This window comes from Homo sapiens, chromosome 22, assembly GCF_000001405.40.
Source record: "Homo sapiens chromosome 22, GRCh38.p14 Primary Assembly".
NCBI lineage: Eukaryota > Metazoa > Chordata > Mammalia > Primates > Hominidae > Homo > Homo sapiens.
In genome coordinates this window covers 40,396,984-40,415,948 of record NC_000022.11, presented here as the reverse complement: position 1 = coordinate 40,415,948, position 18,965 = coordinate 40,396,984, and the positions used below count along the sequence as shown (strand labels likewise).

General features: G+C 53.8%; 2 protein-coding genes across 24 annotated transcripts in view, besides 5 other annotated features; one reads left to right on the top strand and one right to left on the bottom strand.

The window, feature by feature from the left end:
- Positions 1 to 5,660, top strand: part of MRTFA (myocardin related transcription factor A) — a 226,431-nt gene extending 220,771 nt beyond the window's left edge. For all 5 annotated transcript variants that reach the window (NM_001282661.3, NM_020831.6, NM_001282662.3 and 2 more), the window contains one exon: positions 4,042 to 5,660. In NM_001282661.3, coding sequence (NP_001269590.2) covers positions 4,042 to 4,559 — 518 coding nt within the window. In that variant the 3' untranslated portion in view covers positions 4,560 to 5,660. The remainder of the gene's footprint in view (positions 1 to 4,041) is intronic.
- Positions 264 to 663: an enhancer, noted in NCBI's record as "active region_19088". NCBI's record gives its function as "activates an Ori minimal core promoter by ATAC-STARR-seq in GM12878 lymphoblastoid cells {active_cell/tissue: GM12878}" and the evidence as "EXISTENCE:reporter gene assay evidence [ECO:0000049][PMID:35858748]".
- Positions 1,544 to 1,693: an enhancer, noted in NCBI's record as "active region_19087". NCBI's record gives its function as "activates an Ori minimal core promoter by ATAC-STARR-seq in GM12878 lymphoblastoid cells {active_cell/tissue: GM12878}" and the evidence as "EXISTENCE:reporter gene assay evidence [ECO:0000049][PMID:35858748]".
- Positions 3,324 to 3,423: a silencer, noted in NCBI's record as "silent region_13771". NCBI's record gives its function as "represses an Ori minimal core promoter by ATAC-STARR-seq in GM12878 lymphoblastoid cells {active_cell/tissue: GM12878}" and the evidence as "EXISTENCE:reporter gene assay evidence [ECO:0000049][PMID:35858748]".
- Positions 5,660 to 18,965, bottom strand: part of SGSM3 (small G protein signaling modulator 3) — a 39,696-nt gene continuing 26,390 nt past the window's right edge. The window contains exons 2-22 of one of the 19 annotated variants that reach the window (NR_146412.2): positions 15,136 to 15,253; positions 14,274 to 14,356; positions 13,744 to 13,810; positions 11,494 to 11,702; positions 11,285 to 11,392; positions 10,665 to 10,808; positions 10,105 to 10,300; positions 9,726 to 9,871; positions 9,287 to 9,511; positions 8,878 to 8,932; positions 8,621 to 8,748; positions 8,381 to 8,536; positions 8,106 to 8,160; positions 7,829 to 7,878; positions 7,520 to 7,672; positions 7,252 to 7,322; positions 7,107 to 7,175; positions 6,931 to 7,016; positions 6,577 to 6,699; positions 6,424 to 6,484; positions 5,660 to 6,267 (exon numbers count right to left, since the gene is read on the bottom strand). Coding sequence is in view for 15 of the 19 variants with exons in the window: in NM_001350039.2 (NP_001336968.1) it covers positions 6,190 to 6,267; positions 6,424 to 6,484; positions 6,577 to 6,750; positions 6,931 to 7,016; positions 7,107 to 7,155; positions 7,252 to 7,322; positions 7,520 to 7,672; positions 7,829 to 7,878; positions 8,106 to 8,160; positions 8,381 to 8,536; positions 8,621 to 8,748; positions 8,878 to 8,932; positions 9,287 to 9,511; positions 9,726 to 9,871; positions 10,105 to 10,300; positions 10,665 to 10,808; positions 11,285 to 11,392; positions 11,494 to 11,702; positions 13,744 to 13,810; positions 14,274 to 14,356; positions 15,136 to 15,142 (2,301 nt within the window). In the remaining 4 variants the exon portion in view is untranslated. Of the gene's footprint in view, positions 6,268 to 6,423; positions 6,485 to 6,576; positions 6,751 to 6,930; positions 7,017 to 7,106; positions 7,176 to 7,251; positions 7,323 to 7,519; positions 7,673 to 7,828; positions 7,879 to 8,105; positions 8,161 to 8,380; positions 8,537 to 8,620; positions 8,749 to 8,877; positions 8,933 to 9,286; positions 9,512 to 9,725; positions 9,872 to 10,104; positions 10,301 to 10,664; positions 10,856 to 11,284; positions 11,393 to 11,493; positions 11,703 to 13,743; positions 13,811 to 14,273; positions 14,357 to 15,135; positions 15,254 to 18,965 lie in introns of those variants that run through there. The other 18 variants (NR_146414.2, NM_001350039.2, NM_001350040.2 and 15 more) reach the window with 18 other exon arrangements.
- Positions 16,935 to 17,034: an enhancer, noted in NCBI's record as "active region_19086". NCBI's record gives its function as "activates an Ori minimal core promoter by ATAC-STARR-seq in GM12878 lymphoblastoid cells {active_cell/tissue: GM12878}" and the evidence as "EXISTENCE:reporter gene assay evidence [ECO:0000049][PMID:35858748]".
- Positions 17,615 to 17,674: an enhancer, noted in NCBI's record as "active region_19085". NCBI's record gives its function as "activates an Ori minimal core promoter by ATAC-STARR-seq in GM12878 lymphoblastoid cells {active_cell/tissue: GM12878}" and the evidence as "EXISTENCE:reporter gene assay evidence [ECO:0000049][PMID:35858748]".

Here is an 18,965-nt window from a genome sequence, read left to right as displayed (position 1 = left end):
GAGGTGGGGGAGCAGAGGTTGGGGCTAAGCCCAGCCTTGGGGGTCGGGAGGACAAGTAGTGGCAGGGTGCGGTGTCCTGGAATCCAGCCGTGACCAAGGGAGCTGAGGACCGAGGCCTGGACACGGAAGGTAGGCATCATGGGCACAACAGGAAGTCCATGAGAGGCCTGGGAGCAGGGTGGGGGTGGCCGTAGAGAGCTCTCTGGGAGGTTCCCCTGCAGAGGGGAAGAAGGAGGTAGGGCAGATGCTGGGCAGGAAATAGCGCGCGTCTGTGTGAGGGGACCCAGCTGGGAGTAGAAGATCCCAGATGACCCCGAGATGGTCCTGGGGAGGAGCTCACTGGCGGCAGCAGGCAAGAAGTCTGGGCCTGTGGTGCCGATGCTGGGTGGTGAGCGTGGACTTCTCTTTGAGTGTCTCAGTGGCTTCAGGAGGAGGAGGAGCGGCTGAGGGGTGCAGGCAAAGTGGGAGCTCAGCCTGGAACCACAGCTCTACCAGAGTAGATGTGATGTTGTGTGAATTTTATTTCAATTTAAGACAAGAGCTCAGTCACTGGTGTTCCTGTGAGGTCTGTAATTCTCAAGCCCTAGGGAGAATCCCTGGGTCCCTGGGGTCTGAGGCGCATCTCTCACCAGTGCAGGTGGCACTGAGGCGGCAGGTATGGGACCCGCTGTGAGGACGGCTGGGCTGGGCGCTCAGGAGCGAGGCCTTGGCGTGAGCTTCAGGAGGTTCCAAGGGAAGGAGGTGCTACCCCAGAGATATTGTTCAAGAAGGAAAAGGGAACAGGCTTTGAACTCTAGCTTCTAAGGGATGGCAGAGAAAGGGAGATGGTGGGTGTGGGTGCTGCCTGCCGCCAAAGGGACACTGAAAAGTGGCCCAAGAGGTGGCAGTGATGCCAGAAGCAGGTGTTTGAGGAGAGAGGTCTGGGCAGGTGGTGGCAGCTGGGCAGGCAGCGACCTCCTTGCCTGGTGAGAGCGGCTGCAGGGCAAAGAGTGCATTCTGCCAGGACAGGGGGGGCCAGAACCCACAGGGTTGGGGAGCAGGCCTGGTTTTTGCATAATTCTTTTTTTAGTTGTGGTGAGATAATAAAATTTGCCATTCTAATCATTTTTTAAATGTACAATCAGAGGTATTAGGTCCATTCACAGTGTTGTGCAACTGTCACCCCTATCCGCTCCAGAACTTCATCACCCCATAAGGAAACTGTACCCATTAGACAGTAACTCCCCATTCTCCCCAACTCCAGCCCTTGGCAGTCCCCATCCCACTTTCTCTATGGATTTGCCTGTCGTGGGGACCTCACAGAAGTAGACTCAGTTTGTCCTTCTGTGTCTGGCTTATTTCACTCAGCATAATGTCCTCAGGGTCCATCTGTGTTGCAGCATGTGTCAGAATTTCACTCTTTTTAAAGGCTGAATCATACCCTGTAGTGTGGATTCACCACATTCTCTTCATCCATTCATCTGTGGCTGGACACCTGGGCTGTTTCCACCCTTTGGATGTTGTGAATGTCAGTGTACAAGTGTCTGTCTTGAGTCCCTGCTTTCAGTTCTGGGCATAAACCTAGGGTTGGAATTGCCGGATCATATGGTAATTTCTTCTTTTTTTTTCCTTGGAGACGGAGTCTGTTGCCCAGATTGGAGTGCAGTAGCACGATCTTGGCTCACTGCAACCTCTGCCTCTGGGGTTCAAGCAATTCTCCTGCCTCAGCTTCTCGAGTAGCCGGGACTACAGGCACCCGCCGCCACGCCCGGCCAATTTTTTGTGTGTTTTTTAGTAGAGACGGGGTTTCACTGTGTTGCCCAGGCTGGTTTTGAACTCCTGAGCTCAGGCAGTCTGCCCGCCTCGGCCTCCCAAAGTGATAGGATTACACGCATGAGCCAACGCACCCCGCCTCATATGGTAACTTCTGTGTTTAACTTTTTGAGGAATCACTAAACTGTGTCCACTGCAGCTGTAACGTTTTACATTCACACTAGCAATGCACAAGGGTTCCAGTTTCTTCACCTCCTCACCAGCACTTCTTATTTTCAATTTTTTGATACAAGCCATCCTAATGGGTGTGAAGTGGTATCTTAGTTTGCATTTCTGTCATTTAGTGACGTGGAACATCTTTTCATGTGCTGCCTGACCATTTGTGTATCTTCTATTGGAGAATGGCCAAGTCCTTTGCACATTTTTTTTGATTTTTTAAAAATTGTGATAAATCGGCTGGGCGTGGTAGCTCACGCCTGTAATCCCAGCACTTTGGGAGGCTGAGGCAGGCAAATCACGAGGTCAGGAGATCGAGACCATCCTGGCTAACATGGTGAAACCCCGTCTTTACTAAAAAATACAAAAAATTTATCCGGGCATGGTGGCGGGCACCTGTAGTCCCAGCACTTTGGGAGGCCAAGGCAGGCGGATCACGAGGTCAGGAGTTCGAGACCAGCCTGACCAACATGGTGAAAAAATTAGCCAGGCATGGTGGCACGTGCCTGTAATCTCAGGAGGGTGAGGCAGGAGAATTGCTTGAAAACGGGAGGCGGAGGTTGCAGTGAGCCAAGATTGCCCCACTGCACTGCAGCCTGGGCAACAGTGAGACTCAAGTCTCAAAAAAAAAAAAAAAATTGTGGTAAAATACACCTAAAATTTACCTTTTTTTGTTGTTGTTTTTTGATAAAGATGGGGTCTTGCCTTGTTGCCCAGGCTGCTCTCAAACTCCTGGCTTGAAGCCAATCCTCCTGTCCCAGCCTCCCAAGTGCTGGCATGACAGGTGTGAGCCACTGTGCCCAACCCATCATAACCTTTTTTTTTTTTTTTTTTTTTTTTTTTGAGACAGGGTGTCACTCTGTTTCCCAGTGTTGGAGTGCAGTGGTGCAATCTTGGCTCACTGCAACCTCCGCCTCCCGGGTTCAAGCCATTCTCCTACCTCAGCCTCCTGAGTAGCTGGGATTACAGGCGTGCACCACCGTGCCCGGCTAATTTTTGTATTTTTAGTAGAGGTCGGGGTTTCACCATGTTAGCCTGGCTGGTCTCGAACTCCTGACCTCAAGTAATCCACCCCACTTGGCCTCCCAAAGTGCTGGGATTACAGACGTGAGCCACTGCACCCAGCCCATTGTAACTAACCATTTTTAAGTGTATGGTTCAGTGGTATTAAATACATTCATAATGTGTACAGCCATCACTGCCATCCATCTCCCTTTCTTTTGATCTCGTAAAACTGAAACTATCCCCATTAAACAGTAACTTCCCATTTGGCCCTTCCGCCAGCCTGTAGCAACTGCCATTCTACTTTCTGTCTCTATGATTTTGACTAAGTGCAATCATGAATTGTCTTTTGTGACAGGCTGTTGCACTAAGCATAGTATCACTTCCTTCATCCATTGATGGACATAGGTTGCTTCCACATTCTACTGTTGTGAATGCACTTATCAACACCTGTGTACAAATACCTGAGACCCTGCTTCCAATTCTTTTGGGTATATGCCCAGCAGTGGAATTGCTAGATCATATGGTAATTCTATTTTTAAGTAAGTAAGTGTTGGAGGAACCTCCATACTGTTTTTCATAGCAGCTGCACCATTTTGCATTTCTACCACAGGGCACAAGGGCTCCAGTTTCTCTGTATCCTCACCAATACTTTCTTAAAAATTTAATTTTACAGTAGCCACTCCAGTGGGTTTGAGGTGTATCTCACTGTGGTCTCCCTCATGACTAGTGATATTGAGCTCTTTTCATGTGCTGTTGGCCATTTGTATATCATCTTTGGAAAAATGTCTGTTCAAATCTTTCTTTTACCTATTCTTGAGTCAAGTTTGGTTTTTTGTTGTTGAGTTTTAGAAGTTCTCTGTGTATTCCGGATATCACTTCTTTATCAAATATGTGATTTGCAAATATTTTTAAAGAGTTTTATAGTCTTAGCTCTTACATTTAAGTAAGTCTTTGATCCGTTTTATTTTTGTAAATGGTGTGACGTTGGGGGGTCCACCTTCATTCTTTTGCATGTAGATATACAGGCTTGGCTTCTGATATCCATTTACTCTCTTGATTGATTGGCAGAAATTTCAGCAGATTTCAAGGAGCCGCCATCCCTGCCAGGGAAGGAGAAGCCATCCCCGAAGACAGTCTGTGGGTCCCCCCTGGCAGCACAGCCATCACCTTCTGCTGAGCTCCCCCAGGCTGCCCCACCTCCTCCAGGCTCACCCTCCCTCCCTGGACGCCTGGAGGACTTCCTGGAGAGCAGCACGGGGCTGCCCCTGCTGACCAGTGGGCATGACGGGCCAGAGCCCCTTTCCCTCATTGACGACCTCCATAGCCAGATGCTGAGCAGCACTGCCATCCTGGACCACCCCCCGTCACCCATGGACACCTCGGAATTGCACTTTGTTCCTGAGCCCAGCAGCACCATGGGCCTGGACCTGGCTGATGGCCACCTGGACAGCATGGACTGGCTGGAGCTGTCGTCAGGTGGTCCCGTGCTGAGCCTAGCCCCCCTCAGCACCACAGCCCCCAGCCTCTTCTCCACAGACTTCCTCGATGGCCATGATTTGCAGCTGCACTGGGATTCCTGCTTGTAGCTCTCTGGCTCAAGACGGGGTGGGGAAGGGGCTGGGAGCCAGGGTACTCCAATGCGTGGCTCTCCTGCGTGATTCGGCCTCTCCACATGGTTGTGAGTCTTGACAATCACAGCCCCTGCTTTTTCCCTTCCCTGGGAGGCTAGAACAGAGAAGCCCTTACTCCTGGTTCAGTGCCACGCAGGGCAGAGGAGAGCAGCTGTCAAGAAGCAGCCCTGGCTCTCACGCTGGGGTTTTGGACACACGGTCAGGGTCAGGGCCATTTCAGCTTGACCTCCTTTTTTGAGGTCAGGGGGCACTGTCTGTCTGGCTACAATTTGGCTAAGGTAGGTGAAGCCTGGCCAGGCGGGAGGCTTCTCTTCTGACCCAGGGCTGAGACAGGTTAAGGGGTGAATCTCCTTCCTTTCTCTCCCTGCTTTGCTGTGAAGGGAGAAATTAGCCTGGGCCTCTACCCCCTATTCCCTGTGTCTGCCAACCCCAGGATCCCAGGGCTCCCTGCCATTTTAGTGTCTTGGTGTAGTGTAACCATTTAGTGGTTGGTGGCAACAATTTTATGTACAGGTGTATATACCTCTATATTATATATCGACATACATATATATTTTTGGGGGGGGGCGGACAGGAGATGGGTGCAACTCCCTCCCATCCTACTCTCACAGAAGGGCCTGGATGCAAGGTTACCCTTGAGCTGTGTGCCACAGTCTGGTGCCCAGTCTGGCATGCAGCTACCCAGGCCCACCCATCACGTGTGATTGACATGTAGGTACCCTGCCACGGCCTATGCCCCACCTGCCCTGCTTCCTGGCTCCTTATCAGTGCCATGAGGGCAGAGGTGCTACCTGGCCTTCCTGCCAGGAGCTCTCCACCCACTCACATTCCGTCCCCGCCGCCTCACTGCAGCCAGCGTGGCCCTAGGACAGGAGGAGCTTCGGGCCCAGCTTCACCCTGCGGTGGGGCTGAGGGGTGGCCATCTCCTGCCCTGGGGCCACTGGCTTCACATTCTGGGCTGACTCATAGGGGAGTAGGGGTGGAGTCACCAAAACCAGTGCTGGGACAAAGATGGGGAAGGTGTGTGAACTTTTTAAAATAAACACAAAAACACAGGCCTGTTAGTCCATCTTATTCAGTCCATGGAAGGGGTGGGTAGCACAGCTGGGTCCCGGGTCTGTTGTGTCCCAGCATCTGAGGGGCCACGCAGTGCCTTCTAGACCACTCAAGGAAGGGCAGAACCTTGGACCTGAATACAGCTCTGCAGCCCTAGCTGCACAGAAGACAGGTAGGTGCTTTCTCAAAGACAGACACAGTTTATTTATAAACCAAAGAGGCCAGGAGCCTACTAGCCACCCCCATCCCCTTCCCTCTTCCTGAGCACAGACATGGCTCCCCCACCTCCTCACAAGGTTTTTGGTACAAACTGTGGTTTGGCCTAGAGCATCCCTAAGGACCCTGGTGGGGCAGGGTACCCTCTGCTCCCACCACCTGGGATGTGCTGGGGAACGTGGAGTGGGGCAGCCTGATATTGATATCCCGCGGCCCCGGCCAGGGCTCTGGAGCTGCTCTTCCCTGGGCTCTGCAGCTTGGGGTCCTGGGCCACCTCAGACGCAGGCCCGAGGTTGGGCTGGGGAGGAGGGGGTCACCCGTCCACATCCCAGCTGAAGAGGTGGTGCTTCACCAGCATGTCCCGGACGCCCTCCTTCAGGGGCTGCTGCGCCTGCAAACAGGGCAGCCCCTCACCTCACAGGCCTTGGGCATGGCTGGGGTAGTTCCTAACCGCTGACACCAGCACTTCGGGTTCCCACCTTAGCCACCCCGCGAACGGTTTGGGCAGCTCCATCAGTGCAGGCCCTACGAGGCCCACACCACCCACCTCTCTCTTCGCAGGGAGCTCCCAGTCCTGGGAGAGGCTGAAGGCAAAGCAGCAGAGGACTCTAGAGGTGAGGAAGGGGTGGTAAGGCTCTTGTCACCCCCAGCTAGCCCTTCCCACCCCACCTCCATCCCCCAAGCCCAGTAAGGTCCTCACCGGAGCTCACACTTGATCTGGACCCAGCCCGGGCTGCGCAGGAAGGACCAGGGCTGGTACCACTTCTCCACGGTGGGCAGGCTGGAGCAGAGCACCTCCAGCCACAGGTGCAGCACCTGCTCACTGGGGACATGGCCAGGAGTGGGGAGCAGGGGCAGCTCCAGGCCCTTCTGGCTGCAGCCACGGTGGAAGCCTCTGACCTGTCTCTCAGCAGCTCCCAGACCACCCTCTTTGGGGAAGGACCTGAGCCCCTGAGGTTCTTTGTCCTTTAGGGTTCCCTGTAAGGACCCCCCCTGATGCTGGGCTGGGTCCCCCCACTCCAGGGCTCTCCTCCAACCCCTTTTCCACACTCACTTGAGCCCCACGCAGATCAGTGAGCGGAGCTTCACATCCATTTGTGCATGCACTGCATCGTGGGTCACGTTCACAGACTGCACAGCCTGGGAACGGCACCGTCAGCTGTCACTCAGGCTCCCCCACAGGCTAACCCCAGAGAGGTCTCTAGGGTCTGGCAGAGGAGGCCCCCTTACCCGGTAGAGCAGCTCCTCCGGGGTCAGGACTTTGCCATCTTCATCCAACCTGAGGGGACACCAAAGCTCCTGGGGTGCCGGGGCTGGGTCAGGCCCCGCCCTCCCACTGCTGGTGACCCCACCAGAAGAACCCGGGCCGAGTTACCTGAAGGTCTTACAGAGCACCAGACGGGAATACACGGAGGCAAAGTCTCTCTCGACCTCCCGGCCTGCAGCCTGTGGGGACAGCACACGGTGTGAGTGCAGGGACAGGAAGATGCTGGTTCAAAGCCCTTGGGGCCGACTGGGCACCTGTCACCACGCTGCCAGCTCTTCCCATCCTCTCTGTGGGGCAGGAAGGACCTAAGATGGGTACTAGGGGGCACAGCAGGGCTGGTGCAGGGTGGGGGTCATGGGCCCAGCCACTGACTTACCTCCTCGATAAACAGCCAGGGGTGGCAGGCGCCCCCAAGCAGGGATGGCTTCTTCAGTCCATGTTCGAACAGGGCCTTAAGGGCCGGGCAGAGGGTCCCTCGCACGAGGTCTGTGACCCCCTCCGTCACCGAGTCATCCCCCGCGATGGAGTACTGATGGGAGGGATGGGTCTGAGAAAGCCCTGCCTGACGCCTGCAGCCAGTCACCCTCCTCTGTCCTCTCTGCCATGCTACAGGCCAGGACTCGCTAGGCACGCAGGCCCTGGCTAGAAGGGTGCCAGCCGTGCCTAGCCCGCCCACCCCCCTCACCTCTTTGCTGCGCTCATCCAGGACTTCCACGAACTTGGCTGGAAACCAGCCTGTGGGAAAAACAGGCCCTGTAAGGAGCAACCACGAGGGCCGAGGACAGAGCAGACACAGCCTGCAGGCAGGCTGAGGCAGTGGGAAGCCGGCTCAGCTGCTTCAGGGACCTCAAGCCAGGCAGGTGTATAGAGGAGAACAGCTTGGTGGCGGCCAGGGTCACCCAAGTCTTCTGTGCCCACCCCCTCCTCCCTCTCCCAGCTCAAGAGCAGACCAAGGACCCCACCTCGCAGGCCGTTGAGCTCCCCCACCCAGCAGTGCTCGTCCTTCTGAGACACGATCTGCACAGGAGGAAAAACAGCAGGAACCAAAGCTGGGTGCCCTGGGCCAGCGCCTCCTGCACCCCCGATATGACTCCTCAGCAACTAGGCCAGGCCAAGACCCCTACATCTTCACAAGAGAAGCTCTTGGCAGGGAAAGGGGTTGGGGTGGGGCTTGGTGGAGGGAGTCTGGGGAACCCGCCACAGCCTGAGGACCTGGTAGTCCAGCGCCCCCACGCACTGTGATGATGTCGTTCTTGCGGAAGCCCAGCTCGTCGTCGTCGTGCCGCTCAAAGTCCAGCAGGGCCTTGGCTCGGCGCCGGTGGCTGCGTGAGCACGCCACGTAGTTCTCGTGGTCCCGCTGGTGGCTCTCCATGCTATAGTCTGGAGTCAGCTCCTGCCACAGTGAACACAGGCCCACCAAGGGGGTTGGAGGAGTTAGGGCCGTGTTTGGTAGCAGCCCAGGGAGCTGGCGACTCACCACGCTGCAGTTTTTGGGGTCTGTGCACTGGAAGTGGCGTGCCACGCGCAGGATGGCTTCCCGGAGGTCAGCCACCAGTTCCGTCTGCTTGATGTTCTTGGCCTTGAGTGCCTCCAGGTCATCCTCCCCTAGGAGGCCCAGAGAACCATGGTGACCACAGCCCACTCCAGGCCCCCGAGGAGGAAGCTCCACGTCCACATGAGCGTGAGGACAGACTCCCGCATGCCCACACTGCCTGGCACTCGCAGAGCTCTCACCGAAGAGCAGAGCAGTGATGGTGGACTTCCTCCGCTGGGTCCTGCGGCGAACAACCTGCACCAAGAGGAGTGGGTCAGGGTGGTCCTGGCCCCGGGAGGAAGAGAACCCACCAGCCCTTGGCTTATACTGTCTCATCTGAAATAGCCTCTGACGCTGGCTCCAAGAATTGAAAACAGATAATCAGAGCTGGGTCTGCCTTCCTCCCAAACCGTGCCAGGATCAGAACCTGAGGTGCACAAAGCCTGAGGAGGCCTGGATCACCCCACAGCTGTGGTCTGACTGGGCCAGGCTGGGGGGCAGAGCAGGAAGGGCTGGTTTGTTTTCCGCAGCCCCCGCGCTCTGAACTTCAAGGTGACCCCTCCTCCCCGTGTGCTGTGGGTCAAGGTGCGGCCCCCCATCCTGGGCCACCTGAGAGAGGTTGGTGAGGGTGCCGGCCCCCAGGAGCTGGCCCTGGTCTGCAATGAGATAGGCCAGGTGCTTGCGGCGCTGAGTCTCCACGGCCACATCGGTGAGGGAGCCGGCCAGCCGCATGGCCACCCCCAGAAGCAGCTCCGCGTCCTCCATCTGCGACGGGATATCCGATAGCGTGTTGAAGATGGAGGCCGAGTTCTCTGACTGGATCAGCTCTTCCTCCTGGGCCATGCCAGGGCAGGATGGGGGAAGAAGGTTGTCATTGCAGGGACGTGGCACTGAGCTGACCCCAACCCCCATCCTCAGGGACCCGTTTGCCTTGGCACAGTTGTCAGGGGCCAGGGGGCTGGTCTTGCCTGGCCCAGGGAGGTCTCTTGCTCCCCTGCCCCCCATCTCGGGTGCCTACTCCTCAGCCTGAAGTGGGGCCGTGGAGCACCTTGAGGTGCAGCATGCCCAGCGTGAGCTGGAACAGCACCCGGGAGCCCTCGTAGAAAAACAGGTCCCAGATGCGCAGGAGCAGCTTGATGTCCACCACGCTGGCGAAGGCCGTGAGGAACCAGTGCAGTGTGATCAGGGACAGCTCTGTAAACACAGGAGCCAAAGCCGCTGGGGAGGAGGTGGTGGAAACCTCCCTCCCCGGAACTGCAGCAAGGTCCTCCCTGCTTAAGAGCAAAGGAGGGGAGGGGGCAGGGAACACCAGAGAACAAAAGAGCGACAAAGACCATGGTTGGGGGGCTGTGCCCTATCCCCACTCGGCCACCCGCCTGAGTCCTCCAAGCTGCAGAATGGGAGCCAGTGGCTCAGGGGCGCCTTACCAATGTCATGCTCCTGGAGCAGCTTGTCCAGGCGAGGCAGGTACTGGACAATGAGGTGGCGCAGGACCCGCTGGTCAGTCTGGACACCCAGCAGGGTGGTGCTGAAGTAGGAGGCGGGGAGCAGGTCCTCGATGATGGCAGACATCATCCAGAAGGCGTCCTCCTCCTCCAGGAACAGCAGGAGGCAGGCGGCCACCTGGCCAGGGCACAGGGACAAGGGCCTTCTACCCAGGTCTTTGTGCAGATTAGAAAAGGTGCCCCTACCCTAGGGAGACCAATTAGCAAAAGCCTCTTGGGGGGCACGCATGCTGGAACCCAGGCCTTCCCTGGGCTGCTTTCCTTGGCCTGCCTCACTTTCACATCCCTTGGGGAGCGCCTCTGCTTGCATAACGTGCAGCTGCCCCGATCTCCTTGGGGACGCCCCGGAGTGGGAGGCCACTCCTTGTTAGGGGTCCTGGAGGAGGCCCTGGGGCTACTGCCCCGTAGCGGGAGGCCACTCCTTGTTAGGGTCCTGGAGGGGGTCCTGGGGCTGCCACTGCCCTTTCTGGGGCTGTGCTCACCATGCCGGTGCCCTGGCAGTAGCCGATCTCTGGGTAGAGCCAGGCCAGGGCCCGGAGCACCCTGCGCAGGCGGGGCACCCCGATGCTACCCATGCTGGCGAAGCAGGCGTTGCTGGGCATGGTGCGGAGCAGGTCCTTCTCGATCTGTCAGGCAGCCATCGGCACCCACAATAACAAGACCTTGTGACACCCTGGGAGGGAGGCAGACCCCAGGCGGGCTTCTCCCCCAGAAATGGGGATTCCTTGTGTTCCTGATCAAGGTCACCCTCCTCCCTTCAGGGTCAGCTCCCAGCCAGTGTGGAGCCGGGACATCAAATCCAGCTGGGAAACTTCATGCCAGACCACCTGAAAACGTGTGGCCCGAGGCCTGGAGTCTATATTTAGAGTCCCCATCTGTTCCTGAAGTGGACCCGGGCTTGGGAACCCCATCTCCAAGCCCTTCCACAGCACTGATGGCCTTTTGGACAATTCTTTCTTTGGCCTGCAGAGGACCAAGGAAGGAGCAAATATCCTCCCCTACCCCACAACAAGGGCACACTCTAAGAACCCCAGGCAGGCTCCCTCTCTCCTGCGAGCCCACACAGCCTCCAGCTCTTCCTGCACAGTGCCACCGGCCTCACCTGCTTGGCAGCGATGGTCTCATCGTTGGAGCTGTTCTTCACAATCTCGCGGTAGGACAGCTCAGAGTTCCTCTTCTTCTGCAGGGCCCCAGAGAGCCGCATCCACAGCTGAGGGAAGGGAGCCGCAAGGGCACTCAGTCTTTCTCGTGACACCTGATCATGGGGCCAGGACCCTCTCAACACCCTGTGGGTCCCTGTGGCCACCTTACCTGTGGCCTCATGCCATGTGGGATGCCGGCCAGCACCAGGGAGCGGAGCTTCTCAGAGCGGGGTAGGGAGACGGCAATCTTGTCCCAGGTGAGATCCCCCACATCGTGGTTATGGGTGAACTCCAGGTGGGCCTGCCACCGCAGCCTCTGTGGAGCATCCTCCATCAGAGGGGAGTTCGCCAGCAGACTGGAGCCAGGCTCATCACCTTCTGCCAAGAGAGAGCCAAGGAGGAAAGAAAAAGCATTCTCTACTACGTGTTCTCCAAGCAGCCAAGCCTCCGTCTTCAGGAGGGTCTGAGCTTCATGGCTCTAGGCCAGCTCTCTCCCACCATATCCAGATTCCCATAGCTAATGGCTTTCTGACAGCTCCAGGTGAGCCTCTAACATGTACCCCATGAGGAGCAAAGCTCTTCACCTTCTCCTCAAAGCCACTCCTACCATAGTACTACCCGGATCCAGAAATGACACCTCCATTCTCCCGATGCTCAGCCTAAACCTCGGAGTCACCTCTGGCTCCTCCCTCGCCCAGACCCCACACTCAGTCCATCAGCAAACCCACAGGATTCCTTTACGTCTCACCACCCCTGACCATGGCCCTTGTCCAAGCCATGGTCCTTCATCCAGATCACTGCAGTGGCCCTCCTGCTGACCTCCCTGTTGCTACCCTCACCTCCCAAAGGCTGTTCCCCTCAGCAGCCACAGTGACCCTTCCAAAATGCAAGTCAGATCATGTCACTCTGCTCAGAGCTGAGACTTAAAGCCAAGGGCTTTCCAGCGCTCCCTCAGCTGCTTCCTCTGGGCCGTGCCCACTCTGTCCTCACCCCCTGCCATTTTCCTCTTGCTCTCTCCACTCCAATGACATGGTCTGAAAGGGCCACTTCAGGACCTTTTTATATATGATTTACTGCCCCTCTTCTCTATCCCTGGAAGTATTTTTCCAGCCCTTCTTGCTCCAGAATATTACATGCTTGTTTACTGCCTGTCTCCCTCACTAAAATGAGAACTCCATGCAGCTGAGACCACCTTCAGTTTTGTTCGGGGGCCTGCAGGGATGCAGCTGTGGAGACTGCACCACCCACAGTTGGGTCCATGAGATATCTGTTGAATGAATGAGGTCAAGCTCTCCTGTGGCAGCCCAGCAACCCCTGGGTGAGCTCCACAGACAGCCTCGTCCTTATTCACCCAAAAGCCAATCCCTCAGCCCAGCTTTCAAAGACACCAACTTTAATGACTTTACCTACAGTAAAATGCACAAATGTTAGGTGTACATTTTGGTGCATAAACAAATGTCTGAACATTGTCCGCATCAAGCAGTCTCAGTTCCAAGGTGTAACAGTGAACACTCTGACTCCACTGACCCAGCCAAACACAGATACTTCCATCATACCAGCAAGTTCCCTGTGTCCTTCTCAACCCAAACCTTTAACCTGCAAATACCTGCCTACGAATCAGAAGAACAAGGAAAACTTTTGTCAGAATTGGAAACGTGAGTGACCTGAAGGTGATTAGTTGCAGTCAATTAAAATGTCCTAGCCACAGTTCTGGCCTGGCAGATGGACTTCCCAATAGCCCACTCAGGACCAAAAGGTCCATTTATAGTAGAAAACAACAGAAATGGACTAGAGACTCAGTTATAGAAAAGTAGTTATCCAAATACTGTATATTCACTATAAAAGGATATTATACAGCCATTGAAAATATGCTTTTTTCTTTTTTGAGACAGAGGTTTGCTCTTGTTGCCTAGGCTGGAGTGCAGTGGCGCAGTCTCAGCTCACTGCAACCTCCACCTCCTGGGTTCAAGAGATTCTCCTGCCTCAGCCTTCTGAGTAGCTGGGATTACAGTCGCACACCATCACACCTGGCAAATTTTGTATTTTTAGTAGAGATGGGGTTTCACCATGTTAGCTAGGTTGGTCTTGAACTCTTGGCCTCAAGTGATCCATCCACCTCAGCCTCCCAAAGTGCTGGGATTACAGGCGTGAGCCACCACGTCCAGCCTGAATTTTTCAACTTCTCTACAGTGAACACGATTGCTTTTACTGTCAGGTGAGGATCAGTAAAATTTATCTCAAAAAAAGCAGAAGTCTCCCATACTTATGAGAGTATCACCCTCAGATACACTCTGTCCTTAAATCTGGAACCCTGACGCATCAGAGCTCAGCCATCACAGGCCGAGTAATTCAGTCAAGGGAGCGGAGTCCTCCCCAAAGAACATCAGCAAGATGACACACAAAAGGGGCTCAAGTTTACCTTCCTTGTACACACGGAAACCAAACTCATCGTAGTAGAACTCTGGTTGCTCTGCTGACTCTTCCTTCTAGAATCAGGATGAGGTTGAAGTCAGTTGCCTGTCCCCTAGTTGGGGGCCTCAGGTCTGAAAGATGCCACCCACAGGGTTGCCTGCTAAAATCCCACCCAGCCTTCGGGCTCAGATCAAAGGCTACTCTTCCAAAAGCCGCCTCTGGTTACCACGCAACCTTCTCTGAACCTTCTTCTAGCAATTTCTCAACCTTCTATTTTCCTTGTTCTTCTCAGAGGTCAAAGATAATAAAATCAAGGCAAGAAACATGTTTTATGCAGTTGTGTCCCTATAATACTGAGAGCATAGTGCCACAGTGGTTGATTCACACAGGAAACATGGGGCTAAGATACCATCTCTGGTGGGGAACTCATAACCCTGTGTGAGTTGGCCACCTCTTCCTGGGCAGCCTGCAGAGCTGGGTCCCCTTCATACCACAGCGTGGGAGCACAGCAGGCTGGTGCCTGGCTAACTGCTATACCTGCGTGTACTTGGCCAAGATCTCCTGGGGCCATATGCTCGGAGTCAGGGCTGAGAAAGGGCCACAGGCAGGTGTATGGCTTCCTAAAACCAAAGAGGACCAGGAGAACAATCAAGAAAATGCAGAGGCAGGCCAGGCGCAGTGGCTCACGCCTGTAATCTCAGTACTTTGGGAGGCCGAGGTGGGCAGATCACCTGAGGTCAGGAGTTTGAGACCAGCCTGGCCAACATGGAGAAACCCATCTCTACTAAAAATACAAAATTAGCTGGGCGTGGTGGCACATGCCTGTAATCCCAGCTACTCGGGAGGCAGGAGAATAGCTTGAACCCAAGAAGCGGAGGTTGCAGTGAGCAAGGATCGTGCCATTGCGCTCCAGCCTGGGCAACAAGAGCGAAACTCTGCCTCAAAAAAATAAAAAAAAAATAGAAAATGCAGAGGCAAAATTCAAATCAGGAAATACCCTCTCCCTCTAAGAGCACCAGCATTAAAGGGACTGGCCCATCTCAAGCGTGCTGGGTAGGGAAGGAGCAGAGTGAAAGAAACCTCCTAGAAATCAGCAAATTTCTGGAGAAGAGGGGAAAGAAACAGCAGCACATTACAAAACATGACCAAACTTCATCTTCCGGCCTCTTTCTCCACCTGAGGACTGCAGATCTGCGGGTTGGAGAGCTGGAGGAGGAGAGCTAGAGAGCAGAGCTGAGAAGGAAGTTTTAATAACTTTCTCAGCCAGCCAGAAGCCTTCCCTACCATCTCCACCTCTCTTATCTGGATGGTGTTTTATGGAAAACAAGCCACCTTCCATCCCTCTGGCTCCTCTGTGAGAGCTTCAAACCCCGTTTCCAAGTCCAGCCCCTGCCTCTACCTGACATTGTGCTGGTGGGCTGGCAAGTCTTCTGCAGCTCCAATCTTAGAAGTCTCCTATCCTGCTATCTTAGAGCTGGAAGGCTCCTCAGGCTTCATCTGGTCCAGAATCATCTGCCCTGTTAGAAGAGAAAAGAGGAAAGTCATTCTATTTTTATTTTTATTTTTTTTTAGACAGAGTCTCGCTTGGTCACCTCAGGCTGGAGTGCAGTGGTGCAATCTCAGCTCACTGCAACCTCTGCCTCCTGGGTTCAAGAGATTCTTCTGCCTCGGCCTCCCGAGTAGCTGGGACTACAGGGTTGCACCACCACACCCGGCTGATTTTTGTCTTTTTAGTAGAGACGGGGTTTCACCATATTGGCCAGGCTGGTCTCGAACTCCTGACCTCGTGATCCCGCCGGCCTCGGCCTCCCAAAGTGCTGGGATTACAAGCATGAGCCACCGCGCCCGGCCAAGCCTTTACTTCCTTTTACTTCTAACCACAGAATTAAAGGCTCTCACTCTACGAAAGGAAGTAGGTGACAACGAGGAGATGTGGTTGAAAGATTTCAAGACAAGTTACATTCCGGTTTTTGAAATCATATTTACCTAAACCTGGCACTGAAGAAAAATTTACTTTTGCCATTTTTCACACAATGAGAATTCAGAAATGACAGTTGTTATCCTGGTCCATAACAGAACCTATTCTCCATGCTATCTGCCATGGAATTCTGGTGTTGGGAATTCTAGATAAATCGGGAAGAATTAGGTAAGTGAGAAGCAAAAAAGAGGAAAATCAAACCACCACTTCAAAGGAGCTGTGAGAAAATCCCAGTTCTCTTTAAAGACATACAAGTGTGGGGGCAAAAATAGCTCCTGTGGGCAGCTCAGCTGTGTCCCGGCCTCTGCTCCTGCCCCAGACACACACTGGCCAAGCCAAGTTTAGGATAAAGGCCACAGCAGAACATTCCTGACTGTTACAGAGGCTTTGGTACCCAAATGGGAGAGACGCTCCCTCCTGCTTCCAGACATGCCTGCTGAGAACCAGATGGCAGAACCTGCTTCCCCAACAGGCCAGCCATCCTGGTTGGTTGGTTCTGTGTGAAGAGAATGGAATTTTAATGTCTTCCTTCAGTGTAAAATATATGTGATATAGGGTTTCCCTCAGAACTATGAGCTGGATGATTACATATTTTTACATTAAAGAGACTGAGCTAGAAATTTTAAAAAGCATGTCATGTCATCATTCAATCCTTACAACACATTCATTCCTTACACAACAGAAAATAAGCCTAGGAGAGACTGATAGTTTCCAAATGGACTCCCAAAACTTTGCCCTGCCACACCATGTAACCCCACCCTGTGAAATGACGGACACATGGCCACCAGCTAGATGGCCCTGGGAATGGAACCCAGTGCTCTATTACGCCTCCTGCTGGCTTGGAGCCTGAGATGGCAAATGGCTGTGGCAGAACAACCACGTGTCAGCTTTGGGAGGGAGTGGGCTCAGCGCTCATCCTCTGCACCATGATTAAAAGTAAAGACATCTTGGCTGGGCGCGGTGGCTCACGCCTGTAATCCCAGCACTTTGGGAGGCTGAGGTGGGCGGATCACTTGAGGCCAGGAGTTTGAGACCAGCTTGGCCACCATGGTGAAACCCTGTCTCTACTAAAAATACAAAAAAATTAGCCAGGCATGGTGATGCATCCCTGTAATCGCAGCTACTTGAGAGGCTGAGGCACAAGAATTGCTTGAACCCGGGAGGCAGAGGTTGCAGTGAGCCAAGATCGCACCACTGCCCTCCAGCCTGGGTGACAGAGTGAGACTCTGTCTCAAAAAAAAAAAGTAAAGACATCTCCAGTCCAATCCTAGCTCTGCTACTCGTGTAGCAGAGTGGGCCTGTGCCCACTTGTTATAACCGTGGGCAAGTTTACTTCACGTCTGTATCAGTTTTCTTTTCGATAGAATGGAATAATAATACCTATGCCTTACTGTGGTTATGAGGATTACGTGAGCTGATGCAAATAAGGCCTTTAGCACACTGCCTGACACATATAAGTACTCAATAAGTATCAGGCAATTAGTAGTCCTAAAAATTTTTAGAAAGTTATTGTTAATATATGGACCCTCCTCATTGAGGTATACTAAAAACTATGTTGAACCATATTAAATTGCCGATATTCATCCATTACAGCCTAGAAAAATGACAACTGTGTATGGTTCCACATAACATGTCCCAGTTGAGAGCATGAGAAAGACTCCTCATCACCATCGGCCCCAGAGGCAGGGGTTTGGTTGGTGGTTCTGAAAGGGCAGAGTAAAAGTGTGACAGAGCACCTGCAGGCTGCTTGTAGCAGAGAAATCAGCTACATCTGGCTGTGGAGGCCTGAAGGGGCTGGGAAGGCCCACTCAGGAGTCCCTCCCCTTTCCTGATCTTGGCTGTCCTCCCACTCATTCATTCATCAGCAAATGGGGACTGAGCACCCCTAAGAGCCAGGCAGCTTCTAAGAGCTGGGACACAACAGTGGGGGAAAAAGTCCTGACCCTTACATTAGAGAATCAGATGACAGGCTGGGCCCGGTGGCTCACGCCTGTAATCCCAGCACTTTGGGAGGCCGAGGTGGGTGGATCACCTGAGGTCGGGAGATTGAGACCATCCTGGCCAACATGGTGAAACCCTGTCCTACTAAAAATACAAAAATTAGCTGGGCGTGGTGGCGTGTGCCTGTAGTCCCAGCTACTCGGGAGGCCGAGGCAGGAGAATCACTTGAACCCAGGAGGCAGAGGTTGCAGTGAGTTGAGATGGCGCCACTGCATTCCAGCCTGGTGACAGAGACTCCATCTCAAAAAAAAAAAAAAAAAAAAAAGACAGAATTGGATGATAAACACAGAAATAGATTGTGATAACTACAATGCTGTGAGGAAAAATAAAGGTCAAGGTGTGGAGACTATCAGAAGAGAGGGGATTTATATCAAGTGTTCAGGAGAAGCTCTTTAGAATATGGGTTAGGGACACCTGAGCAAAGACCAAAAGGAACTGAGGGCTCATGGCTACCTGAGGGAAAGGAGATCCAGGGAGAAGCAGCCCCAAGTTGGGAGCACACTGGGCATGCTGAAACAGCTGCAAGGCAGCCAGCAGGCTGGAGGGGCTGGGGAATGAGAAGGAAAGAGTGGGAGGAAACAGCCTGAATGGTGGGAGAAGACACAGCAGGGGACTACGAGGCCTCACAGTGTGGTGGATTCTGGGCTTCATTCTCAGTGAGCTGGGAAAGTAGGGGAGGGCTCTGAGCCCTCTCTGGCTGTCTTGCAGAGGTGGTGGTGGACATAGAGGAGGCTGTTGGATTAGTCAGGGTGAAAGGTATGTTGACTTTCCTATGGTGGGAACACTGAGAAATGGTCAGATTATGGATATATTTTATCATATTTTTTTTTTTAGAGACAAGGTCCCTCTATGTTGCCCAGGCTGGTCTTGAATTCCTGAGCTTAAGTGATCCTCCTGCCTCAGCCTCCCAAAGTGCTGTGATTACAGGTGTGAGCCACCACACCCAGCCAGATTCTGGATATAGAGTCTGCAGGGTTGAGCTCTTTAATGCTACACACACATATAAATGTATGTAATGTATATAAGTATATATAAACACGCCACTTCTCCCACTGGCTATAAAGCCCAGCCGGATGTGAATTGTTAAGCTGGGTGGGCAGGTTTTTCCTGCCTCTGGTCGCTATGGAAACCTTCCTGAAAGCAGCCATCTGGGAGTTGGCAGGAACAGCCCAGAGAGTTAGCCACGTCAGGGTGGCTGCCCTCCTGTTGTCACAGGAGTACTGAGAGGCAGAAAGTTGAAAAACAGGATT